The sequence below is a fragment of the Homo sapiens genome, chromosome 10 (genome assembly GCF_000001405.40).
Source record: "Homo sapiens chromosome 10, GRCh38.p14 Primary Assembly".
Taxonomy (NCBI): domain Eukaryota; kingdom Metazoa; phylum Chordata; class Mammalia; order Primates; family Hominidae; genus Homo; species Homo sapiens.
In genome coordinates this window covers 130,374,379-130,401,694 of record NC_000010.11, presented here as the reverse complement: position 1 = coordinate 130,401,694, position 27,316 = coordinate 130,374,379, and the positions used below count along the sequence as shown (strand labels likewise).

The 27,316-nt window shown below is 47.7% G+C and overlaps 4 annotated features.

The window, feature by feature from the left end:
• Positions 1,599 to 2,098: an enhancer, noted in NCBI's record as "H3K4me1 hESC enhancer chr10:132197861-132198360 (GRCh37/hg19 assembly coordinates)". NCBI's record gives its function as "activates a minimal SCP1, AML or CMV promoter by ChIP-STARR-seq in primed H9 embryonic stem cells {active_cell/tissue: H9 hESC(primed)}" and the evidence as "EXISTENCE:reporter gene assay evidence [ECO:0000049][PMID:30033119]".
• Positions 2,099 to 2,600: an enhancer, noted in NCBI's record as "H3K4me1 hESC enhancer chr10:132197359-132197860 (GRCh37/hg19 assembly coordinates)". NCBI's record gives its function as "activates a minimal SCP1, AML or CMV promoter by ChIP-STARR-seq in primed H9 embryonic stem cells {active_cell/tissue: H9 hESC(primed)}" and the evidence as "EXISTENCE:reporter gene assay evidence [ECO:0000049][PMID:30033119]".
• Positions 22,830 to 23,330: an enhancer, noted in NCBI's record as "H3K4me1 hESC enhancer chr10:132176629-132177129 (GRCh37/hg19 assembly coordinates)". NCBI's record gives its function as "activates a minimal SCP1, AML or CMV promoter by ChIP-STARR-seq in naive H9 embryonic stem cells {active_cell/tissue: H9 hESC(naive)}" and the evidence as "EXISTENCE:reporter gene assay evidence [ECO:0000049][PMID:30033119]".
• Positions 23,331 to 23,831: an enhancer, noted in NCBI's record as "H3K4me1 hESC enhancer chr10:132176128-132176628 (GRCh37/hg19 assembly coordinates)". NCBI's record gives its function as "activates a minimal SCP1, AML or CMV promoter by ChIP-STARR-seq in naive H9 embryonic stem cells {active_cell/tissue: H9 hESC(naive)}" and the evidence as "EXISTENCE:reporter gene assay evidence [ECO:0000049][PMID:30033119]".

Genomic DNA, 27,316 nt, shown 5'->3' with positions numbered 1-27,316 from the left:
GGTTTTCTACTAACAAAGTTTGTCTGCTTTCTAGGTCACTCAGTACCTGGAAGGCAGGCAGTGGGCAGCCGTACACTTAGAACCCCCCAAGTACTGGGCAAATGACTGTTATTTACCATTCAGCAGAATAGCAGGGATTCATTTTACACTCCAAAAAATGATAATAATAATAATTACAGTTTCATCAACATTCGCATTTAGGTACGAAATATTATGGCACCAATGTCTAATTAACATAGTAATTGACATGTTAATATATTTCCTTCTTCATTTCAAATCCATAATCTACACTAATTGCTTTTAATGTACTCATTTTGGATGGATGCTGATATTTGAGAGTGAACACTACAACTTACCCCTTTAACCAAAAACCAATGGCAGCAAAACTCTCCCTAATGCAATTATACTTCTTGTCTATGTTGTTGCCAGCCAGCGGTACCAAGGAGACAAAGGTGTATTCATTTGCAAATTACCTGAAGAAAACTGGGTGATTAGGACTAGGAATTAACATTTCTCTCCCACACTGTAGCTTCACAGCTACCCCAGAGAGAGCAGTGGGCGAAGCTCCATCAGTACTGAGAAAAGCAACTCAGGATGCCAAGTGTGGGCGTCATTCTGACATGGCGGTGTTCTTCCCTGTGTCAACAGCAAACAAAGGGGCCGAAGCCCAGAATCTTCCTGATTGGCTTCATGAACCTGGGACTTGGGGCAGCTGTTTAGTTAATGGGATGGACTCTCTCCAATCCAGGTCCCACATAATGAGACAGAGCAGGGACCCCTCTTAGGGGCCTATTGGCCCCTCCAAGCATGACAATAAAGAAAAATCTTGAGTTCCTTCAAGGAAATTCCAGGTACTTAGCTAGCCCTGAGAAGTAAATGAGCAGCATGATGTGCAAGAAGATAATAGTAGCTTAAAACAATATCCAAGGAAGTTAGAGCCATATAATGCATGGTTCTCTTTAGAAACTAAAGATAACACATAGGTCCCTGAGTTGTTTTTCAGAAACCCGGACCCATACCAAATTAAAAATGCTACAGGCATGTGGACCTTGGGTAAGGAAGAACTGGGGACTGAACTCTGATCGCAGTTCTTTGTTCTTAATTTCTCCCTGACGGGCCTGGAAACAGTCATGCCCACAGCCCAGACCTTAATGTTCTTTTCTGCTGACCCCAAGTTTTTAGACAAAGCTTTGCTTCCTTAACCAATTGCAAATCAGAGAATCTTTGAATCCACCTATGACCTGTAAGACCCCACTTTAAGATATCCCACCTTGGGCAGATTGCTTGAGTCAGGAGTTCAAGACCAGCCTGGACAACAGGGTGAGACCCCTTCACTACAAAAAATGCAAAAAAATTAGTCAGGCATAATGGTACATTCCTGTAGTCCCAGCTACTCAGGAGGCTGACATGGGAGGATCCCTTGAACCCAGGAGGTAGAGGTTGCAGAGAGCTGAGATTGCACCACTGCACTCCCACCTGGACAACAGAGCCAGACTCTGCCAAAAAAAAAAAAATATATATATATATATATATACACACACACACACACACACACACACACACACACACACATATATATGTGTATATATATGTGTGTATATATATACACATACATATATATATATATCTCACCTTTTTGGGCCAAACCAATGTATAATCTCCATGTATTGATTTACAATTTTGCCCTTAATGTCTGTTTTCCTTACATTTACCTCTGCCTTTAAAAACTCTTCCTGGTAAGCCATCAGGGAGTTGGGTCTTAAGTGTGAGCTGCCTGATTCTCCTTGCTTGGTGCCGGCAAATAAAAGCCCTGCTTTCTCTCGCCACAAACCTTGGTGTGGATCTTTGGCTTTCCTGTGCCAAGTGAGCAGATCCAGGTTTGGTCTGGTAAGAAGAACATTCCTTGTCATGGCAGAGGCTCAGACTCAGCATCTGCAGACCCCCAGGCCCTGCTGCTCAGCCACTGCATACCTGCACCCATCCTCACTGCTCCCCGTCTTTTCCACTGCCCCTGCCATGGCCAATCTTGGTGTCTCAGGGCCCCTCGCCTGCTCAGTGCACAGTGAAAGGAAGGCCACTGCAGACCAGGACGCAGGGCAGCCAAGGGAGGCTTCCGTCTCCTTCAACCTGAACAGCCTCAGTGGAAACGCGTCTGGAAAGAGTCATTGTCCTGCACCAAGGTATGCGGCCTCCATGACCTCCATGATCAGCTGAACTGTTTGTGTGAATAATGTCGGCCTGACCACCTCTGTGAGCTGATCCTGCCCACAGCACAGGGATGAAGGGCCCAGCAGAGGAGAAAGCATTGTCTAGGGAAGTCCTGGGCTCCAACCCTGGCCGCTGACCACTGCCTCTGGGCTAGTTCCTGTCCCTCTCTGAGGCTTGATTTACTCATCTGAAAAGGAGGAGTGTGGAACAAAAGCCCTCTAACATCCCTTCCAATTCCAGCATTGGATCAAATGTCAACTAACCTGTGCATTCTTCCCTGCAGCCCAGGGCCAGTGGCACCAGGTGAAGTTACCCCTCCCTCAGTAAGCTTTGAGCACACGCCTTTAACAAAAAAACCAAGCTCTGTAAAATATTTTATAGAGGTTTATTCTAAGATAATGAGTGACCATGGTCCAGGGAATGCAGCCTCAAGAGGCCCTGAGAAAGTGCACCCAGGCAGTCAGATTACATATTTTGTAATTTTAGGTTTTATACATTTTAGGGAGGCAGAAGTTTCAGGCAAAGACCTAAATCAATATGATACAGACAGGAGACAGGGAAATATTGGGTAGAAGAGGGCGGCTCCCCAGCGAAGGCCCCACCCTCAAGGCTGAAGACCCGCAGCCCTAAGTGAAGACAGGCATTACTGTTTCACACCCAAAAAGTTGTCTTTTGGCCCACCACAGCCCCCCATTCTGCACCCATATAAACCCAAGACCTTAGTGGTCACACGCACAAGCGGCTGAAGGTCAGAACCAGCAGACCAGCGACAATAGAACAACACAACAGAGAAAGAGAGAAGAGGAGGGGCATCTGGATGCCAAGGGGAGTTCAGCCGGGGGCAGTCAGAGAAGAGTCCAGCCACAGGGTGGCCTGACTCCAGGGGAAGACCACCTTCCCACTCCATCCCCACCTTCCCACCCCATCCATCTAGCTGAGAGTCACCTCCACCACTCAATAAAATCTTGCACTCATCCTTCAAGCCCACGTGTGATCCGATTCTTCTCATACACTGGGCAAGGACTCAGGATACAGAAGGCTGTGACACTGGCCCCCTGCCCTCACGATAAGGCACAGAGTCTATTGAGCTGATTAACACAAGCGTCCTGCAGAGGACGAAGCTGAAAGAGCACACTGTAACACATGCCCACTTGGGCTTTGGGAGTCACAGACACCCACCCCTAAATGAGGCTATGGGGCTGGAGCCCAAAAGTGCTCCCCACGGCCTCTGCACCTGCCCATCTACATGCTCCCCCTATGGGTTTGAGCAGCAGGGGCCACCAAAGGAGCAAGCCCACCCCTGTCGCACATCCTGCAAGGCGGATAAAGGAACTCTCCTGTTTCAAATACATGGAAAGTATACATTGGTTCAGTCCAGAAAGGTGGGATATCTTGAAGTGGAGGCCTACCAGTTATAGGTGGATTCAGAGATTCTTTATCTGCCACTGGTTGTATTAGTTCGTTTTCAAGCTGCTGATAAAGACATACCTGAAACTGGGAACAAAAAGAGGTTTAATTGGACTTACAGTTCCACATGGCTAGGGAGGCCTCTGAATCATTGTGGGAGGCGAAAGACACTTCTTTTCTTTTCTTTTCTTTTCTTTCTTTTTTTTTTTTTTTTGAGATAGAGTCTCATTCTGTCACACAGGCTGGAGTGCAGTGGCGCAATCTTGGCTCACTGCAACCTCCGCCTCCCGAGTTCAAGGGATTCTTCTGCCTCAGCCTCTGGAGTAGCTGGTACTACAGGTGCCTGTCAACACGCCCAGTTAATTTTTGTATTTTTAGTAGAGATGGGGTTTTACCATGTTGGCCAGGATGGTCTCGATCTCTTGACCTCATGATCCACCCGCCTCAGCCTCCTAAAGTGCTGGGATTACAGGCGTGAGCCGCCGTGCCCGGCCTTGAAACACATTTCTTACGTGGCAGCAGCAAGAGAAAAATTAGGAAGAAGCAAAAGCAGAAACCCCTGATAAACCCTCAGATCTTGTGAGACTTATTCACTATCACAAGTATAGCACGGGAAAAACCGGCCCCCATGATTCAGTTACCTCCCCTTGGGTCCCTCCCACAACACGTAGGAATTCTGGGAGATACAACTCATGTTGAGATTTGGGTGGGGGCACAGCCAAACCATATCACCGGTTAAAGAAATAAAGCTTTGTCTAAAAATTTGGAGTCTGCAGAGAGGATTGTTTTAAGTTAAGATAAGGAATTCTCTGTAAAAAGTAAAGTAGAGGTTCCTCTTCAAAGACAGTCCTCCCCATCTAATTAGGAATAAATAGTAACTTCTCTTAGAAGCAAAATTTAGTCAAAGACCCGTGCAAACATTCTTAAATATCTGCTAGCCACGATAAAGAAATCAATGTACTTTATGTTCTTAGCTCCCACAATTTAGCCTAAATATTTGCCCTGGCATGCTTACACTGGTCCAAGCAAGCATTAGGTCATAGCCTGTTCCTCTTCCTTATTTGAAGGCGTTTTTACCTTTCTCAGCATTCCACAAGTTACTTCCTCCTTCCTTTGTTCTCCTCTGCCTTTGCCTCTTTTTAGAAGTTCTAAGTTGCTAGCCAATTGGGACAAATACAGAATGTGAGTTCCCATTCCAGCCAATGGAAACCAGACACAGCAGTAGGGTGGACGTGTCAGGTTATAAATGACCCTGTCTCCTTTGTTCGGTGTACTCTCATGGCAAAACTGCTGGCGAGTGTACTCTTTCTGCAGGAAGTAAAAATTGCCTTGCTGAGTACATTAAATTTATGTTCAAGTGCTACTTCTTTACAGCACTGGGGAACAACCATTTCAAACATCTCTTAACCAAAACACTGCATCAGAGTGACCCACAGGGGTGTGTGACTTAACCCCTGCCTGGCACAGCCTTGGATCTTGTTAGTAATTTGGTGTCTCATTGTCATGAAGAGTGTGTTTTGTCAGCCTTATAATGTCTATTTTAACATTAATGTTGGCCCATTGTGGCTAGACTCCAAAAGGGAGGGAGTATAATAAGGCTTTTCCGACCTCTCTTCCCCTCATGGCCAAGAACTCAGATTTTCAGGTTTCTCTGAGGTCCCCTTGGCCAAGAGTGGGGGTCTGTTCAGTTGGTTGGGAGGCCCACATTTTTATGATGCCCATAAAGAGATGTGCCTTAATTGACCCATGCTGGCAAGTGTTTCCTGCATTCCAAGAGCAGAGCCTGTGCCGCATTCCCTCTGTATCCAAGGGCTGCACAGCACAGACTGGCTAGGAGGAGGCAGCCATCATCGGCCTCATGGTGGAGAGGAGATCCACTGGCGGTTTCCGCTGATTCTCCAAGGCTCCCACACCATTGGATGTTTTATTAGTCTTAAACACCAAACGCTATGCTAATGAAACATCAGCATTCCAAATCTAACCTCTGATGTTAGGAAGATGCATTTCATTTTTCAATTAAAACCTGATTTCCAGTGTTCAGCCCCGTGCTGCATTAGCATCACCTCTTTAATTAATCTGGCATCTCTCAGCCAGAAGTTGCTAAATTGCCCAAGCAGAGATGGGAAAACTAAAGGGAAGCCTGCTCCCAGCCCAAGGTGAGCAGGTCTCTCAAGCCCGGAAGATATTTGGCTATTTGAATAAGAAACAATTTATCTGACAACACTTAGCTTAAATAGCAATTAGTCAAGAAGGGAAGACAAAGCCATTTAGAAGGGGCCGGTTGGCAGGCCCCAGGCCAAGCGCAGGGGAAGATCTTCAGAAACCAGCTACTTTGCACTTAAGCAGGAAGCTTTAATTAGTTCCTGGGAGAACCCGACCTCCCCTGTTTGCTGTTTGCATTTCAGGAAGCTTTTATAAAAGCTTCTTATTTGCTCTCCTAGGGGTTTTGTTTTTGCTTTTGTTTTCATTCCTTTTGTTCTTTAGAACAACAGTTCTTCAAGGCCTAAGTCAAAGGAGACTTCTCTGGCTCCCTGCAAGCCAGGACCTAAGGCCCTCAGTGGTGGGCCTGGGCTTCAACTGGAGCATCTTGGCTTGACCCCCTGTCTCCCCGGTCCTGGAGAGATCTGGACAGGAGCCTAAGATGACCGCAGACCAAAGAGCCTCCATCTAGAACAGGGCCCTCGTAGCTGCACCCCACACCCTACCACTCCTCCAAATGGAAGGCCATGCTGTTACTCACTCTCAACTTGTTTAAAAAAAATAAAGCTTTGTCTCAGCAAGGCAGCCAGATCACCCCTTATGAGGAAACTAGAGTGCCCCAAGCAGTGCAAGTCTGTAAGGAGCCCTCAGGCTCTCCCTTGAAAGGTATCCGAGCCTGCGGTGGCTAGGGGTATCCATGGCTGGCTCGCTGATTAGGACTCAATCGTTTGGTTCAGGGTTTACACTGTTACAGAGGAAAGCCAGGGGCTGACCTTGTGTGGGGGGATCTTGAGTGGGACCCAAGGACACTCACCCTGCCACTCACTCTCAGGGGGCTCAAGGTGGCACCACTGCCCCAGAGACACCTCTCTGGGAAAGCCAGAAAAAATGTGCTCAGTCCAGGCCACCAGGGTGGCATCTGCTGAGCCCTCCTAAATGCAGGGCAGCTCCCCGCCATGGAACAAGGCGTTATTGATGATGGGTATCCGAGTTACCAATGGCAGATCCATACAGGTCTGCAGCAACAATTCTTGTCCTCAGAAGAAAGAATTCCACTGAGGGGCATAAGGCAGAAGAAGAGACCAAGGCAAACTTTAGAGCAGGAGTGAACATTTGTTGAAAAGCTTTAGGGCAGGAAAGAAAAGAAAGTAAAATATACTTGGAAGAGGGCCAGGCAGTCATCTTGGAGGACAAGTGCCCTGTTTGACCTTGGACTTTGGGTTTTCTACGTTGGCCTACTTCTGGCATCTTGTGTCCTTTTTCCCTTGATTCGTCCCTTGGGGTGAGCTGTCTACCTGCACAGTGGCCTGCTAGCACTTGGGAGGGGAGCATGCACGGTGTTTACTGGAATTGTGAGCATGCTCACCTGAGGCCTTCTTCCCTTTGCTGGTGGAATGTTGCTGGCTCTGACCCGCAGACCCTGGCTGAACAACAGATGAAAAAATGCGCTCGGACACAGGTATGCAGTGAAAGAGCGGGCTAGGGGACTGGGCTGCTCATAGAATGAGTTGTAGCAGCCACAGCCCTGACAAGCCAGTGCTGCGGGCATTTATTCAGTGCAGATTTAATGACAAAGGCTTTGAGTCAACACACTGGTGGGTAATTAACATGGTCACCACCACCCCCACCCCCTGGAGAGGACAGTCCTGCGTGGATGATTAAAGGCCAGGTTCTGAGGCCTAAGTAAACTAACTTATCTAGATCATTTTCTTACATCCCCTTGTTACCTAACCGTTGCTTTCAGGCTCCAGATAAGAGAATCTGGCTGCCTTCACCAAATTATCTTTCAAAGCTTTTGCAAAACCTCCTGGCCTTCCAAGAAGGTTTGCATCTTTTTTCTATAATTTCTCTCACCACCCTCGCCAGTCTCCTACAGAATATCCTCAGGTCATATGCCAGTTAAACTCTGCCATTTTGCCTCTCAATGTGCACGCTTGAGCTCACTCACCCAACTCCTGAGATCTTACTGGGAAGCTGCTGATCACCTGTTTCAGGCATTTCTATCTTTTGGGAGACTGCCTTTCCCTGGCACTGGCTGTGACCTATTACTGTTTTAGAGAGACAGTTAACAACCACCTAACCATCACCTGATGGTCACCTGACATTCCTGGTTGAGGGGCCCTCTCCTTCCCTGCTCATGTCTGCCTGACTACCTACTGTAACAAAGGGTGAACTAATGTCCTTGGAGACCTGAGTGCAACCAGCATCGGCACCAGCATCGGCAAGCTTTGGACACCATGGGAGTGGAGAGGAATGGGAACCTGTCACTCCTGCTTCCGCTGGCCCAGTGGTTTTCCACCTGGCTCCACATTAGAATCACCTGGGGAGCTCTTCAGACTCCAGATGTGGGGTCCCTCCTCAGAGGTTCTGATCTATTTGGTCCACTATACCGGGCTGCAAAGTTCAGCAAAGACCCTGTGCCCACCCCAGGTGCCCAGGACCACAGCAATGCTGAGAACAGAGCAAGCCCACAGAATCCCTTCACACCTACAGAGAGGAGAGCAGATCCTATTGATTTGCTCCCACAACAACATATGACATGAGCCAATGCTAGACAGAAATGGTTAGAGCTGGTGTTGGATTCCCCATGTTCCCTCCCTGCATCATGGCAAAACCTGAACTCTCGTGTTGAGACTACAACGTCCAAGGACAACGGAGCCTTGGTCATCCTGATTCCTTGGGTGACAACAGAGGAAAGAGCCCCCTCCTGGCCTGCATGACACGAGAAGCGTGAACGGTAAACAAAGATGCATTCACTGTTTTCACCCACTGAGAATCCAAGGCCATTTGTTACCTCAGCATCACCTTGCCTGTCCTGACTTTTACAAGCCTGGCTACACAGATGTACTTGGGAACAGCCTCCCCCAAAGAGAGCTGGCCAGTCATTATTAAAACAATCTCAGCATTTCTGAGAAGTCTTGCTTGCCAATGGTTACAAATTGTCCCTGACTTCAACTATATCAAGCACTAGCAAAGGTAATCTCTTCCAGACTTCCAGGAGCTGCTGGCTTCAGGTCCTCTCTTGAATTTTCCACCCATGCCACTTCCAGATGTGAATTTCAGCCTGATTATTGGGGGCCTGGCCCCCCGACATGCTGAAGACGGATCACAGAGCATCAGGCCGTGTGTCTGACATCACTGTTCCACAATCAACAGAGAACACATTTATAAACATTAAATTGCCCCAGACTAAAGCATTTCTTGCCAAAGAGATACAGCATAATTAAACTGCAAATGATAGCAAAAACTAATTGTTACTGTCTTGTGAGGTGTTAGCTAAAAGCTTTCCCTCGTGTAGCTCACTTTTCTGGATGAAACTGACCTAAGTGCATTCATTAGTGGACATTTGGGGTTTTTTTAGTGGAGTAGACATAACAAACACTGCTTTGGATTAGCAGTTAACACAAAATAGAAGCCTTTTTGAATGTGGTGTTTATAGGTTCACTTTTTATTTATCTAGTCATGGAATGACTATTAAGTGCTCACTATGTGCCGGGCACATAGAAAACATGATCACAACCAGAGGCTGAATTTGAGCGGTGACAGTAAAACAGCGGCCAGAGGTGCAGTGGAACCTGCTCTGAGGCAGGAGTACTGGGCTTCAGTCCTGGTGCTCAGCCTTGGGATGCCCTGGCGAGTCCGTCTACCCAGAGCCGCCATTGCCTCCTCTGTACCCGAGAAGTATGCAGGTCTGGTGACACCCAAGTTCCCTTTTATTCATTCATTCATCACACAGTGCTGGGGAGCTCTGACTGTGCCAGGAGCAGCTCTAGGCTCTCCAGGTGTCGTTTACACACAAGAGACAGAATCAGTGTCCTCGGGGATCCTGCCTGCGACACAGGAATGGACAACATCAAGATAACTGAGTAGCAGAGGCAGCACATGAGGTTGTGGTGCATGCAAAGGAAAGCAAATGAAGCAGGCACAGGGAACGTGGAGGGGCACAGGGAGGGAGGGGCATCAGGTGTGTAGGTTGGCGGGTGGCAGCTCCCTCTTGAACTCCTCACTTGAGCCTTGGCTCCACCCTACCCCATGGTGTTTTACCCAGTGCCCACTTCTCCATCCTCCTCTCCAGAACCTATGCAGAGCCCTCAGCACAGTTCATCATTCCTTCATCCCAGAAATGCCTTCCTTCTTTGGCTCCAGGACAGCACTCCCTCCCGGTTCCCTCCTCCATTTCTGGACGCTTCTTGAAAGTGTCTTGCTAGGCCCCCCTCCCCTCCATGAGCCCTGCAGGCTGCAGGTCCACAGGGCTCTGCCTCAGACCACTCCTCCCTCGCTCCACTCACTAGGTGGTCTCGCCCAGGCTCTGACAGTTCCCACTCATAGCTCCAGCCAGGATTTTCCCCTGAACTCCAGACCCACAGAGCCTATGGGGTCTGTGACATATGTGTATTAAGCATGTCCTTTCTGATGTTTGATACCCAGGGCCTTGCTGACACCGGAAGGACAGCCCCTCCCAGGGCTGGCAAGGTCCTAGAGACAGGAAACTACTGGGGGCTTTCTTACAGGAACAGCCACTCCAGAGTCCACACCCCGACCACCTCCTCCATCAGGCTCTCATATGCAAACAGCCACTCCAGAGTCCACACCCCGACCACCTCCTCCATCAGGCTCTCATATGCAAACAACCACTCCAGACTCAATACCCTGACCACCTCCTCCATCAGGCTGTCACTCCCAGGGCCACTCTCACCTGCCCTACCCAACTCAGGGCCAGGTACCAGACAACCTGGGAAGTCCCTGTGCACCAGGGCCCACTGAAATTATTCACCCTGGCCAGTCCTAAGCCAGCTCACCGTGCCTCACCCATTCCTTCCCATGGAAGCCACGGTAAAGGGCCCTGCGTCTGTTTTCCCCTCACTCCCTCTGCCTCTGGAGCAGCCCTAGGTGCTTCCCGTAAGACATCTTGCAGCCTGGTGAGCCCCCTCCTTCCCTTGGGAACTGTGAGCAACAAACTGTCTTCCCAATGGCAGAGGTGCCTTCTGACCTCTTGGCTTCACCATACCAAAATAATAATAAAGCCTACATTTTAAAACCATCTGTACTGCATGTCAGGTCGACACCTTTATCAGTTATGTGCTGCTTTATATCAGTTAAGTACTGCTGTTAGCATCTCTAGATGCTAATATCCCAAATGCCTGCACCAAATTATCAATTATCAATGGCTAAAAAGGGTCAACTGAATCTCAGGGTCCAAGTTTTAAATGTCTTCTTTCAAATGTCATGCCAAATCTTAATGAAGTAAATAAGCCAATTTGCTATGATCCTGTGAGTCAGTAATTTGAGCTGGACTCAGCTGAGTGGTTCTTCTGTTGGGGTCATTCATGTAGAGGCCATCACCCAGAAGCTCAACTGAGGTTGGATAAAGTAAGATGGCCTCAGTCTCCTGTGCACTTGGTCTTGGCTGTTGGCTGATGGATCTAGGGGACTCAGGACAGTTTTACTCTGCTTCACATGGCCTCTGATCCTCCCATGGGTAGACCAGGCTTCCTCATAGTGGTCTTAGGGCAGTTTCTCAAGACAGTGAGAGCAGGAGCTGCAAAGTCTTTTGAGACTAAAGCTCAGAAGCCACACAACATCACTCCTGCATTTTATCAGCCAAAGCTATTTGCAAGGCCAGCCAGACTCAAGGGTTGGGGAATTAGACTCCACTTCTTGATGAAAAAAGCAGCAAAGCCCCATGGCATGAACATGGGGAAAGGAAGCTTTGTTGTAGCCACAGCATCCTGAGCATGTCCAACATGTCCTGACTTGCCCCAAACCGAGCTCTGGCATTCGCCCCAGCCAGCTCCTCCTACGGCCTTCTTCTCACCCCTGGTAGCCCCATTCTTTCCATCGTTCAGGCCAAAAGCTTCAGTGGCACTCCTGACCTCTCTTCCACTCACAGCTCACTTCACTCTATAAGCAAACCCTGTAGGTTTCACCTTCAAACTCAACCAATAATGGAAACGTATCTCACTATCACCATTCCACCACCCCCTTGGTCCAAGCCACCAATCTCCCCCACCAGGATGACTCTAGAGGTTCCCCTTCCAGAGTAAATGTCCTCTCTTCAGTGGTGATGCTGCTGACAGAACCTAAGGGGTCTCCCATGGATGGCTTTGCATCTCATGTGACTCACTGCACCCATACCATCCTCAGGGGTTTCAAGCAATCCATCTCTAGATGCTAACACCTCAAATGCCTGCACCAAATTATCAATTATGAATGGCTAGAAATGGTCAACTAAATCTCAAGATCTAAGTTTTAAATGTCTTCTTTCAAGTTTGTGATTCCCAAAATGGTTTGATATTTTGCTCTCATCAGTTAAAAAATAAATGAGCACATTCTCCTAATGTATGTACACTTATTTATTAATTATAAATTATAAATATAAATGACCAAATTAATAAATAACGTACGTGCCAGATCTCACTAACGAACCCCTGCAGGCCTATATTCCCAGCTCTTCTCTTTGGTTCAGTGCCTGTTCAGCATGGACCGTATCAATAGCCCCCTTGCCTTCTGGCTTCTACTGGGCATAGCCCATGGGTAGCCCTGGCAGATGACCGAGGAAAGACTATGAGGCCAGGATGCTTACTTCCCATCTCCTCCTATGGGGATGCCTTGGCCTGGGTGCATTCTCCATCTGACCCCAGCTCCTCTCTGCATAGCCCTGGAGTGCTGCTGCCTATGCCCATGGTTTCCCTGCAACCTGACATATCTTCTAAAGAAAGGATTCCTTTGCAGCAAGGTCCCCACAGGAAGCAGGTGGCACACACAACTAGAATAATTCAATAAGAGTTTGACAAATTTGCTATCTATAAAGGTGTGGGCAGGGGTGGGAGAGCCACAGGGATGTCACAGTGACTCGGGCTGCTCTAGGTCAGTCACTGCCCCTGAACCTCTGGGGAAGACCGGCAGGCCTGGGGAGAAACAGGGGCCTCAGGTGGAGCGAATCAGCCCTCACCCCAGCAGTCTCACCTGTGGTGGGGAGAGGAGCCAGCGGGTAACTGCCAAGCCCTCCTGCTCCTCCCTCTTCCCAAATGCAGACCATAGTTCCACATTGTCAATCCCAGTGGGAAGCTCCCGAGGTGAGACAGGGATAGGGAATGGAGGAGGTGGGGCAGGGATGTAGCTCCCGTAGGCATAGGTCTGGGTATAAGTGGAAAATGCACCTGAAGACAAGGACAGTCAGCTCAGCACAATTTCTATGCAGTGCTCCTGGGACTATCCGAATGCCGCAGGCACCTCCTCTTTCCTGCCAGGACTCTGGCTGATAAAATATATTTTATGAATGTACAAGAAAGTATTGTGTCATTTCTTTAGATTAAAAATAAGTAGCCACCGATGTTCTGGTGTTTTCCATGTGCACACCGCCTGGGAGACCCCTTCAAGGAGTGCCTGCCAGGGTTGCAGCTCTTCTGAATCAGGAACAGGGAAGACAGGTGAGGAGTTGAGTCCAGCTACCACCTGCTACCTGGAGGGCAGCCACCGGCCCAGCCACCAGGGTGCCTGTCCTGACAGGATTCTCTGCAGGTGGCTGAAAGGCCTGGAGCTTATCTGCCAAGTCACCTGGCCCTCCGGTCAAACAAATCTCTCCAGGGGAGAGAGTGCACAGCACAGTTCTGGTGACCCGACCAGAGCTGGTCAGCCTCACGTACAGTGAAGGTGCCTCAGAGATAATTCAGGAGTCAGGCTCCCAGCCTCATCAGCGTCCACTGACCTTGGGCATCTGCCTGGGAAGAGAGATCTTCCCTGTGGTTGGTACACAGCCAGCCAGGGAGGCAGCAGGCACAGAGGAAGGATAAAGGTCTCTCATGAGGGTGACAGGAACCCACCCTCCAACCTGAAGGGAAGCAGCCAGAGCCTGCGCTGTCACCTGATGGGTGTCTGCTCCCACCCCAGGCGCGGTGGCTCACGCCTGTAATCCTAGCACTTTGGGAGGCCAAGGTGGGTGGATCACCAGGTCAGGAGTTCAAGACCAGCCTGGCCAATATGGTGAAACCCCATCTCTACTAAAAATACAAACATTACCCGGGCATGATGGCGAACCCCTGTAGTCCCAGCTACTCAGGAGGCTGAGGCAGAAGAATCACTTGAACCCGGAAGGTGGAGGTTGCAGTGAGCCAAGATCACACTACTGCACTCCAGCCAGACTCTGTCTCAAAAAAAAAAAAAAAAAAGTGGGGAAGATTCCCGTGTACAGATGCCTACAGGCTGGGTTGAAAACAACAGAATCTATTCTCTCACAGTCTGGAGACTAAAAGTTTGAAATCAAGATTTCTGCGAGCCACGCACCCTCTGAAGGCATTGAAGGGAGGCTCCTTCCTTCTCTCTCAGTGTCTGGTGGTACCAGCCAGCACTCCTTGGCTTGTGGCAGCATCACTCCAACCTCTGCCTCCGTCCTCCCTCCTCTTCCCTCTGTGTCTGTGCCTCCACATGGCCTTCTCATCTCTGCCTGGGTCTCTTCTCATAAGGACATGAATCACCTTAGATTAAGGGTCCACCCTACTCCAATATGACCTCATATTAGCTTACATGTTAACTACATCTGCAAAGATCCTGTTTCCAAATAAGGTCACATTCACAGGTCATGGAGGCCAGGACTTCCACCTATCTTTTGAGGGGACACAAATTTAATCCACAATAGAAGGTTGCAGGGTGACAGTTGCCTCTTCTAAAACGAACATGAAGAATGCGGTTTGGGTGCCGCCAGCCACTGGGAGTGGTCTTTCACCTGTTCTCCTTCCTGTCCAGACCTCCACCCTGCACCCCTAGAGAAAGTCTGGGAAGCCAGGCAAACTCTCATCCTGAAGGAGCCAAATTTAAGAGAATCTTTTTTCTAACAATGTTTTCTATTTAAACAAGGTATTAGAGAAAAAGATTTGCCTAAAAGCCCTAAGAATCACTGTTAAAGCTTCAGAACAAAGCATTTAATTACTTTTGACACACTAATGGCAATTTTTATTTTTAAACAGCCTCTGCACTAATGTGATTTCTTCCTAAACTCCCTGTTAAAACTCTGCAAGAAGCATTTCTCTAAGGCAAACCATCAGAATCTGTGGCACCATCAGAATCTGTGACACCACCTGCAAAATTCCTTCACTAACTCTGCACACACGTGTGTAGGGAGCCACTTCAAATGCATGAAACCGGCAAATGACAAGTCACTTCCTCATCAAGGTCCAGTAAAGGAATACGCTAAAGATCTTCAGATCCTGACTTCTCTGAAATCTCCCAAATTTCTACTTTTTATGGAGAAATTGATAAATTCATCTCTGTGTTTTTATCCTACAAGTCAAAAGAAAATGAATGTGAGCTTTCTGAAGAGTTCAATTGAGTTTTGTATAAGGAGCATCAAAGTTCAATATCTTTATAGAAAAATGTCAACACCAATTTCCAGGAGAGGTAGGAGATATCAAAGTGTCAAAAAATATATATCTAAAAGTCCCCTGATAAAAAGAGACATGGTGTAGAGAAGAGGATCCAAATGATGAGAATATTGAATTGTCTTTGTTAAATATTCTCAGCAATTGTGTCAGAATGGATCCAAGGCCATCTTCCCACAGATATACCCTTGTTCCTAAGTTCCAGGCCCACACTCACTCAACTTTTTGGGGGAATTAACCACAGGCTTTCACCAACGTTGGAAGAAATCACAATACTCACAGACTCATAAAGCAGACCAGAAAAATCTTGCTAAGGTTATTTTTAGATATAAAAACATTTCACAGATATTTTTAAGTTGATGTGAATAATTTAAGATGCAGATATGATACAGGAGTCAAATAATTTGGTTTTAAAAATACAACTAAAAATATCTAAAGCAGTGATGCCAAATAAATCTGAAAACAAACACTGCAACAGAGCAAGAAGGCAGCTCAAGAGGAGAGGAATGAAAAGAGGTGACGTCTATCAGACAGCTAGCTGGTAACAGAGAATGAGAGGCCAATTAGGGAGAGTAATACTGAGCTTCTGATAAACTTGGAAATCAGACCATAGAAGTTAAAATAGCAATTAACGAAAACACCCAGGAAGCAAAGAAACTGTACCTGACAGGGCCCAGTGAATAATTTAGAAGCAAGCAGTTCTTTGCGATGTTGTTATATTGTAGAGATCAGTCACAGAAAGGCTCTCCTGCTGTCACATTTCAGCAAAATGAAACACTAGGAGATCATAAGAGAGGCTATGAGAGAGTGAAATCACTCATTGAGTGATGAAAGGCTAATATAAAACCTATTCATTCCGTTGTTTATCACATTTGACAAGAAATTGAACACCACAAAACTGAAATCATCACAAAATTAACACATTTCATTAGGTGAAAAAAAGCTTAAAGCTTCCGTAGAACAACTCCTCTGCCCATTTTCAATTTCTTCTGAGATCTTTGTAGAAATTACGTGAATAGAGAAGGAAAGAATTTTGAATTTCAATGAATTTCGAGATTCATGGGGATTTAAAATTTGCCAGTAAGTAGTCCTCTGCGACAGAAAATTAAGCTTCAGAGGCCAGCACAAGAAACAACAAACCATCCACACATCCAGCCCAGAGGAGGAAAGCGGTAATGAGATACTTAACCAAATTGCTTAGTTGCTGCCTGGAGGAGTCAAAAACTTTGCAAAGTAGAGGACATTGGGATAATGGGAAAAGGAGGGTCACCTCACATTTGCAAAAATCCTCATTGCCAAAGCCTCTGAGCAACTGTGCAGAGAAGTGAAAACAGATCTCATTCCAGGTCAGGAGAAAATAGTTTTTAATTGCCAGGGCATTAGACAATGGAATCTCACCAAAATACATCTCTTAAGACAAAACCTAACTTTCAACTTAAATTGACTTTTATGAACTGCATTAAGTATCATGGATGTGAGAAGTCCCACAGCCCACTAAGATGGAGCACCAGTTAAACTCAGAATGTCAGAATTCAGAAATCTGAATCATTAAAGTATTTTATGTAAAGTATCATCTCTAGGAAATACAGAGAGGCAGAGGGGCTACAAGTTTACAGGAATTTGCTCCTAAATTATATTTGTTTGGTCAGTCAACACTATTAGGACGAGAAAAACTGTATCCCAAACTTCTTGTGAAAGAAAAAAAAAAAAAAAAACAGAAGATTGCTAACTCCAGAAAGGTGCTTCATTTTTTTGGTTGGTTGGTTTGTTGGTTTGTTTGTTGATTGGTTGGTTGGCAGGTCAGTTGGTTGGTTGGTTGGTTGGTTGGTTGGTTGGAGGTTGGTTAGTTGGTTGGTAGTTGGTAGCTTGGTCATTGGTTGGTAGATTGGTTAGTAGACTAGTAGATTGGTTGGTTTGTTGGTAGGTTGATTGGTTGGTTTGTTGGCTGGTACATTGGTGGGTAGGTAGGTTGGCTGGTAGGTTGGTTGGTAGATTGGTTGGTTTGTTGGTAGGTTGGTTGGTTTGTTGGTAGTTTGGTTGGTTGGTTGGTTGATTGGTTGATTGGCTTGTTGATGGATTTGTTGGTTGGCAGATTGGTTGGTAGGTTGATAGGTTGGCTGGTTGGTTGGTAGACTGGTTGGTTTGTTGGTAGGTTGGCTGGTTGGTTGATTGGTTTGTTGGTTGGTAGATTGGTGGGTAGGTTGGTAGATTGGTGGGTAGGTTGGTACATTGGTTGGTTGATTGGTTTGTCAGTTGGTAGGTTGGTAGATTGGTTGGTTTGTTGGTTGGTAGATAGGCGGGTAGGTTGGTAGGTTGGTTGGTTGATACATTTGTGGGTTGGTAGGTTGGTTAGTTGATTGGTAGATCAATTAGTTGGTAGGTTGGTTGGTAGGTTGGTTTGTACGTTGGTTGGTTGGTTGGTTGGTTGGCTGGTAGTTTGGTTAGTTGGTTGGTAGATTGGTTGGTTGGTTGGTTGGCTGGTTGGTTGATTGGTTTGTTGGTTGATTTGTTGGTTGGTAGATTGGCTGGTAGGTTGGTTAGCTGGCTGGTAGATTGGTTGGTTGGTTGGCTGATAGGTTGGTTGGTTGGTTGGTTGTTGATAGGTTGGTTGGTAGGTAGGTTAGTTAGTTGGTTGGTAGAATGGTTGGCTAGTTGGTAGGTTGGTAGGTAGGTTGATTGGTAGGCTGATTAGTTTATTCCAATTGTCTCTGTGTGGTGAATAATCTGTGTTGACTCAATCTAGGTTTGTTTTCAGATCACTAGGTGTCTGGTAGGAGTGAGCCATCTCTTCCTCCCTCTCCCACAGGATGGCCATGCTTCTCTCTGATACCTGAACTTTTTGTCCCAGCATGCCAATTTTTCCTATTGTTGAGCTCAAATCAGAAGTTGCCTGACCTCCAGAGGACAAGATTCACCAGGTTTTATTTTTATTTCAAGATATCCTTGGGCAGAGAGAGGCAGAAGCAAGCAGCTCCTATATGGGTATGAGGGTAAACCCCCCATAGATTGAAGGATGGAGGATTTTGTAGGCCCTGTCTGGAACAAGGGCCAGAGCCCACTCCCAGCAGGACATGAGGGGAATCAATCACTCCTCTCATTCATGAAAAACTGCTGAGGACTCCTCTGCTTGTGACTAACAGAGTTGGAGGGGCAGTTTTACACTAAATACAAGGTCTGGAGAGGAGAGATTGGTTTCAGCAGAACTCCCTCCATTCCCTCAGGGTGTGGAGCAGTTCAAGCCCTGTGTGATAACAACTGTGTGACAGAGCCCAGGAGATCAGACAGACAGGGAAAGCTTTACAACCCAAGTTCCCCAAGGAGACATTTGAGCACTAAGTTGCCTTTGCAGCAACAGAAGGGAGAAGCAGGATCTGGTTTCCCAACCCAAACACCCTTGAGCAAATCCTGGACCCCTGGACTGCCTGGGGAAGGAATTCACTCAAACTCACTCCCATGCCACTGTAGGCTCCACTCTTCTCTACCCAAATCTGCATTATTCATAGATACACACCAAAGAAGAATTCTGCCTAGGAAACATTACTCAATGTTTTACTCTATTGGCAATTCCCAAAGTACATTCACATTTTAAAGGCTCTGAGAAGGCCTGCAGTCCACTGTAGCCTTTCCTTCACTTATTTCAGGTGGAATCTGTTTTAAAGCACAATATGAGAAAAAAATAAGAGGTCTTATGCCTCTCATGTGTCAAAAAAAATGAACCTTATTGAATTCACATCCCTAAGTATTTTAATTCAACAACAATAAAACAAACCTGGAGATAAGATATTCAATTTTGAAAATGAAAACAAGCTAATACCCTTTTGTTTCTATGGTTGTATTTCACAGGTCAGGCAGAAGTCTACCAGGCCACCTCCTGGAGCCCACCCTGGAGCCCAGAGCAGCTTTCCTGAGGTGGCAACCCAGATCCTTCTGGGAGTGTCTACAGTGTTTCCAGTTGACCAGCACTGTACAGCTACTTGGATCCTTTTCTGAAATTTCATGAAGGTCATGTCTCAATTACCATTATTCATAACAGAAGCACAATGGCGTGCTTTCCTTTCAAAATCAATCAAGTTGTATGTGCAACTGGGCAGCTCCTTCTGTGTTTGGACTTCCGCCTCGGTTTTGCAAAAGCAGGTGGCCCTTTCTTGAAAATGAGGAGCATGACTCCTCCTGCTGAAATGACTACACCTCCCCCACACCCTTGTGTGGGCCAGGCAGTGGCCTCTGATGCTGTGGCAGGGTGGCTGTGGCATCCCGTCCTCCAGTGCAACCCGTGCCTCAGGACGCCCTGCACACTGACAGTCAAGGTGTGCACAGCACAGCACCCAGCGGGTTTCACTGACAGGGGATGGGAGCCGCAGCCCCCAACCCTCAGAGTTCACAGCAACAGAAGCAAGATGACAGCCAGATAATCCACAATGCCAGGGGCTTTTGAGAGTAATGAGTCCTTTCTGTCTTTGGATGGGTGACACTGGTGGCTCACTTCACAGGACAGAGAAGTAAGTGCCTACGTCTTTCATTTGGGAAGGTTTAGCGCCCATCGGTGTAGGAGGCAAAGCAGGCTTGTGAGACGTGTTCCATGGCCACTAAGAAAGGTGGATGTTGGCTTGGGGTCGGTTGCACAGAACGATGACAAGCTGGGCCTCTCTCCCACAGGCCACCTGAGAGCATGGGAAAGGCCCCACAGCAGAGAGGGCTTCAGAACGAGAAACCCCAGCATCCAAGGAGAATGTGATACAGGACTCTGTGGCCACGGGATTCCAGATGATGGCAGGGGCTGAGGGAGGAGGGTGCATCCCCGGGGCTGGAAGGTTAAGGGCCCTCTGAAGCAGAAGCCCCTGGGTCTATGGAGTGATCCAGAGCCATGCTGCTCTCTTCTGCTCCTGTTCCCCAGAAACCTGGGTACCTCAAGACCTCATGTATTTCCCACAGAGAAATACATGTCTCCTGCACCCCCACCCCTGAGAGCAAGGCTGATGCAATTCCAGGGCCCAGAGCTGGACTGGGAAACTGAGGGTGCTAAAGGTACAAGGTTTGGGCCCCTGAGCACGTGGACCCCAAAAATACATTAGCTTCAGGACGAGCTACATACTTTGCAGATCCCAGTACAAAAAGGAAATGAAACCTCCTTGTTCAAAATTATTACAAATTTCAAGATGGTAACACATAGCATTAAATCAAGTGCCAGGACCCTTCTGCATTTGGGACCTGTGCAGCACATGCCCATAAACCTGGCACTGCCTGGATCTGCCACAGCCCCGCCGGTGATGCTGGAGCAGAATCAGTATCAGAATACTTAGAAGAGACTAGAATAATCAATAAGCACCTAGCCCAAATCAGTTCATGACACCTCCTCTATCACCATGTCCAAGGTGAGGCAGCATCCGGGCCGGTGGGGGACACTGGACACCCATCCCATTCATCTCTCCAGGTACACAGCTGACCACAGTTCCCAGCCTCACTTCAGCTGGACTGAGACCACGTAACCAGGCCTGGGGGATGGAATGAAGGCAGAAGTTACGTCCTGCCCAGCCAGAAACCATCCTACTCAATCTGCCTTCCTCTGAGTGCTGACGAGAGTCTTCAAGGTGACCTTCAGCCGTGGGATGGTGGAGGCTTGGAAGGAAGCAGCCTGGGACCCCAGGCCCTCTTTGGGAGGAGGGCAGGATGTGCTACCCAGCGTCCAGACACCTGGTTTGGGCTGTCTACTGGATTTCACCCCAACCTGCCTATTCTGATTAATATGCTAATAAAGCGTGAGCAGTAGAAATCAGCTTGGCTTCCAGGACGGAGGGGCGAGGGTGAGCAGAGAAGTTTCGGATCATGCAGAGGCACCACCAAGGACCCTCTGGGAGGAGCCTTCCCAGAGAATGAGGTGCAGCAGCACCAGACCAGCCTCCCCAAGCAACATTGGGACTTCCCACCCCCAGTCCTGCCTGGTGGCCTCCCAAAAAGCAGGTATCCACCAGGGCAGCCCATCCATCCTGTCTCCTAGGAGCAGAGAGTCAAGGCTTCCATGCAACTTGGAGCAGGCAGCTGACCCCTGAGGTTGGCTTCGCATCAAAAAGTGGAGATAACAATAATATCCATGATAAGCCTTCATGTTGCTGATGAGGTCAAGTGAGAAAACATGTGCAGGATTCTCTGGGAATTGCACACCACTGTCCCGTCAGCAATCATGAGAGAGACAAAATAGGCTGGGCCCTGGCCCACAGTCCTCTGCACAGCTGCAACTGTGCGGGAGCCAGTATCCTTTCGGGAAGGAGTCCTGCCCCTCTTCCCCACAGAGGCCAGTACAGATCTCTGCCCTGGGTGCTGTGGTCCCAGGGAGGGCACGGGGCCTGTGGTAAACTGATAATGGCCCCTGAAGACATCAGGGTCTAACCCCTAGAACCTGTGAATGTTCATTATTTGGTAGACTTTGCAGACACGGCTAAGCTAATGATCTCCAAGTGGGGAGATTTTCCTGGATTTTGTGGGTGAACTCTAAATGCAATGACAGTGTCCTTGTGAGAGAGGGAGATTCGATGGCACACGATGGAGGAAAAGGCAGTGTAACCTCTGAGGCAGAGATCAGATTGAATCAGCCACAAGCCAGGGAACACCAGCAGCCCCCAGAAACTGGAAGAGGCAGGGAAGGATCCCCCACACCCAGAGCTTCAGAAAGCCCCACAACACGTTGACCTCAGCCTTCTGGCCTCAGAGAGAGTGCATTTTTGTTGTCCTAAGCCACCAGGTTGTTGTAATTTGCTACTGCAGCCACAAGAAATGTATACAGGGCCTAAGCTCCATCAGCCAAGGCCCTGCCTGCTTTCTTCAAAATGAAACCAGGAGCATTTTGTTCCTGTCTCATTCCAGGCTGGAAGGATGAAGGGCTCACCCACCTAAGCCAGCATGCTGCCCGCAGAAAGGACCTGTTGCACCAGGAAAGAAGGAGACCAAGGCTTAAGGAGAAGCCGAACCCAGAAGTGGGAAGGAATCCCACAGAGACTCCGGAACCCAGTATCCCGCAGCCTGCAGGCCCTGGCCAGGGCACTGTCCTTGGGCCCTAAGGAGCCGCCATTCATGGACTAGCACTCAGAGGACCCCAGCAGAGGACCTGAGGGGTGACACTCTCTGCAGACAAGCAGGTTCCTGTCCTAGAGAAAGACCTCACTGGGAATAGCCGCCCTCAGAGACCTGTGCAGAAGCCAGGCAGGAAGCCTGGGACGGTGGCAGATGCTTCAGGAAGAGCGAGCCCGGCCTGAGAAGTGAGAGCAGGACAAGGATGTCACCGGGAAGCCACAGTGTGAGCTGAGGAGGGAAGGAGGGACGAAGGTGGCAAGAAGGGGAGCCAGGCAGCGTGAGAGAGGGACGTGAGGAAATGAAACGCCTTCTGCTCACACAGAGAGAGCCGGCCACTAATGAGGAGGCGTGTGCTGCTTACCGAGCCTGGAAATGCCTAAGTGTGAATTCCTCCTCTCCTATTTCATTTCAGATGAAAACTGAGACTCTAGAAGTTTCCAGAATGGCGCTCAGTAAGCTGTAACCCAGTTACCATGTCTATCTTGGGCAGAGTGGGAGGATGCAGCATTTTAAGTAAAAAGAAAATCAACCCCAGTCTGGCCAATGGGCTGTTTGTTAGGGTGATCCCATGAGATACTGTCAGATACAGTCTGGCCAGTGGGCTGTTAGGGTGATCCCGTGAGATACTGAGCCACTGTCCTCCCTAGTGGTGGGTCTAGGCCTTGCAGGATGGGTGGGACAGGAACCATGGCCTCTTTCCTCAGGGTGGGCCTGAGCAGTCTGCACCCTCATGCAGAGCAAGAGCAGGGAGAAGTCAGGGCCTCCCAGGTCCAGAGACCCTGCCCCTATGAGTCACACACAAGCACGTGGGCTTTCAGGGCCTTCAAAGAGCATCTCTTCAGGACACTCCCCACCCACAGACCACATCTGATTTGTCCCCCACTGTAACCTGAGTGCCTTGCACAGCATCTGGCACAGGGAAGGACTCAGGAACACCCACTGAAAGGTTGAATGGAGAGGGACAGACAGCAAAATGAAGAAAGAAAACGCAATACTTGAGTGATGTTCTTTATAAAAACACGGAGCAACCATCCAGGCAGTGGGAGGACCAGGAGCAGGTGACCCGTGCTGCACAGCATCTTGGCCACCCGGCCCTGGGAGCCTGGAGTATCGGGTTTCAGCAAAGAGCTGCCAGGTTCTCTCTGAGAAGCCCAAGTAACTGCCCCTCCAGGGGCCTCACAGAGCACCCCCTCGGCGCCGTGTGCGTCTGCTGAGAACAGGAAGAAGGCAGAACGGTGATTCCGACTCCAGCTGTTCATCGTGGCCTCCTTCACGAAAGGCAGAGTGAGTGCCACCAGCGCACTGTAATGCCCTATTCATAAAACACCCTAATGAGGAATAAGTGTTTACTCAATTTTGCCGCACGATGGGGAGCAATACAGAGCTATCTGCAGTCAGTGTGGTTGTTAATATTCATTGAAAAGGGACCGGGATGAGCTGCTCCAGTTAATTGTCAGTGGATCCCATAGAGGCAGAAATCGCCTCATTCCACTTTCCTTTCATCTTGAATGATGACAATGCCAGGAAATGCTTATTTTGTGATTGTTTTCTATTGTCAGATTTAACTTGGATCACACAAAGATACACAAATTGTGTAATGTCAAGGACAGGCAAACAGCATTCAGATGACTTCAAGTGCTAACTCAGGGTATGCATCCTCCAAGCCTCTCATGTGTCAATACTATGCAAAGAAACAGGGAGCAGCAATCTTCTGGTGAACTGAGTTAGCAGTCATCGTTCCCCGCACAGCCATCCTTGGATGATGACAGCAGCGTAAAGACTGTCTGCGCAGAGCTCACATATGATGTGTGTTAACTGTGGATGAGCTTCCTGTGGGTACCATTACAAACAACCACAAACCTCGTGGCCTCAAACAACAGAAATGTATTGTCTCACAGTTCTGGAGGCCAGAAGTCCACAATTGAGGTGTCAGTGGGGTTGGTTCCTTCCAGAGGCTCAGAGGGAGACCCATTCCATGCCTCTCTCCTGGCTTCCAGCGGCTGCCAGTCAGTCTTGTTGCTTGGCTGGTTGACTGGAGTTGCGCCGCTGCAGTCTCTGCCTCTGTCTTTACATGTGGCTCACTTGGGTGTCTGTGTGTCCTCTCCTCTTCTTATAAGGATGCCAGTCATTGGACTTAGAGCCTGCCCTAAATCCAACAGGATCTCATCTTGAGACTGTTAGCTTAATTACCTCTGCTAAGACCCTGTTTCCAAATAAAGTCACATTTACATGTCCTGGGAGTTAGGACTTGGACATAGTTTGGGAGAACACTATTTAACCAACTACAACCTGCATTTATAAGAACGTGCAGAGAAAGGTTAAGGTGGGCCATCCCTGAGCTCTCACCTTTAGGCACTGCTGATAGTGTATGTCTTTGCTCCCACTGACCCACCACCACTAAGTCCCACGGCCAGCACCCTGCCTTCTGCCCCGCCCTTGGCTTTGCATAAGTGCATCTAGAACATCAGTTTTCCACTTTGATATGAACCAAGACTCAGAAGAAGAGACTTCTGGTGGGGATAGGGGGGACTCAGAAGGAGCCTCCATAAAGGGCACACAAAGGAACCGAGACAGAAGCCTGACTTAGCATCACTCCTGGAACAGGACAGAAGTGACGTGAGCTGTCACTTCTCCAGCAGGCTGTCACTTGTTACTTCCCTCCTCTGATCCAGGCTGCTCTGTCCTGGAGCAGTTCCAGAAGCCTGGAAGGTGGCAAAGAAGTAGAAAGGCTAAGCTGTGAACTCTCAGCAGGATTCACAGGCTGCTCTTGGGCAAAACATCAGAGTGTGATAATATTCCCAACCAATGAGTCCCTCTCCAGGTATTTGAAGGAAATCTCATAGCCAGGTGGTAAGAGATGTTGCTGCCACTTTTAGCCTCTGCACAGTGAAACTGAGAAACTTGACAAAAAGGAGTCCACACCTGTATGGGTGTTACCCAAAAAGAAATCACGAGAGTGACCTTGATATGGTTTGGCTGTGTCCCCATTCAAATCTCAACTTCAATTGTATCTCCCAGAATTCCCACGTGTTATGGGACGGACCCAGCGGGAGGTAATTGAATCATGGGGGTGGTCTCTTCCATGCTATTCTCGTGATAGTGAATAAGTCTCACAACATCTGATGGGTTTATCAGGGGGTTCTGCTTTTGCTTCTTCCTCATTCTCTCTTGCTGCTACCATGTATAAAGTGCCTTTTGCCTTCCGTCATGATCACGAGATCTCCCCAGCCATGTGGAACCATAAGTCAAATTAAACCTCCTTTTCTCCCCAGTCTTGGGTTTGTCTTTATCAGCAGCTTAAAAACGGACTAATACAGACCTGCTTCAAAATTTTCACAAATCAGCTGGGGAAAAAAAGCAGAACCATGGGAGCACAATTTAATATATGGTATAACAGAAAACAACTGCAGAAACACACTTTTTAAATAATTCTTTTAAAATACCTGCACAACTCTATGATAAATATGTTTGAGAACCTGGATTTAAGGGACAATTTTCTAGGCAAGTACAAATGATAAAGCTGACCTAAGAAGAAACAGAAAACCTAAACCAGAGGTTCTCAAACTTGACTGTGCATCAGAATCACCTGGAAGGCAGCCAGGCACAATGGCTGATGCCTGTAATCCCAGCTCTTTGGGAGGCTGAGGCAGGTGGATCGCTTGAGGCCAGGAGTTCAAGACCAGCCTGGCCAATATGGTGAAACCCTGTCTCTACTAAAAATACAAAAATTAGCAGGCTGTTGTGGTGCATGTCCATAATCCCAGCTACTCGGCTGGCTGAGGCATGAGAATTACATGAACCTGGGGGCAGAAGTCTCAGTGAGCCAAGATCGTGCCACTGTACTTCAGGCCGGGCAACAGAGTAAGACTGCCTCAAAAAAAAAAAAAAAAAAAAAAATGACCCGAAAGGCTTATTAAAACACAGATGGCTAGTCCCAGCCTCAGAGTTTCTAATTTTGTTAGGTCTGCAGGCTGGGCAGGAGAAAAGAAGGTGAGGTTGCCAAATATTTGAATTTCTAACAAGTTCCCAGATGATGCTGGTGCTACTGGTACAGGGACCATACTTTGAGACACAGATGCAAAGCCCCATGAAAGCAAGGATCATATCTATGTAGGAAGCTCTTATTGCAATTGGTTGAATGAATAAATAATTCAATATTATAAAAATTAATACAATTCACCACCATAATAAAGGAGAAAACTCATGTGTTCTAAAATCGTTAATGTCTGGAGGACTTTTGTAGCTGGAGGAGAGACACTCATACTCCTCCTATTACCAGTGTATTGAACTTACTACCTCATAAACAAAACTTAGATAATAATTGCTTTAAACAACGTTTACAAACGTAACTAATCCAATGCCTTCAAGAATTTAATCCACATCTGTGAATATAATGGCAGACAATATGACTATTTTGAAGCTCTCGAACATGCAAATGGCAGAAAAGCATTCAAAAATGAAGTGATTGTACAAGTTATTAAAATATTCACTCAATTCTATTCTAACAGCATGGATTTATTTTGTGATACATAGCCTGAAGCTTGGGGTTACAATAATCCTACAAGATATTTATTTCTCTACCTTCCTAGGGTTAAGGCCCAAAGGGAAAAAGAGTAAGAGCATCTCAGCCCAGCATAGGCTGCAGGTTCCGGGCTACTGCTCAGCCGATTCCTGGTCATCATAGGGACCAGCTGTGCCTCCAAGGTGGCTAAAGTAGGGTCTGATCCCAAGCTCAGATTTGCTGTGCAGGGCAAGCTTCACTTTGGACATAAGTTATATTTTTCATGGCCAGACTTCTTGTACATGTTTAAATTTTCCAAACCCTGATGCTCTTCTTCGAAAGTGTGTGCTTGTAAATCCCACTTGGCCCTCATTACACAGTGAGTGGAAACTTACACATGCTTCATTGACATCTCATTCCAGGGAACAGGGTCGTTTGGAGTTCTTCCTCCCAGTCAAGGGTCTCAGGTGAAAGTAAATTTGGCCAACGCTGTTGTCTGTAAGTGATCGGCTTCTGTGCTGTGTCGAATATTTCACTGTGGTTGCTCTCACCTAACATTAGA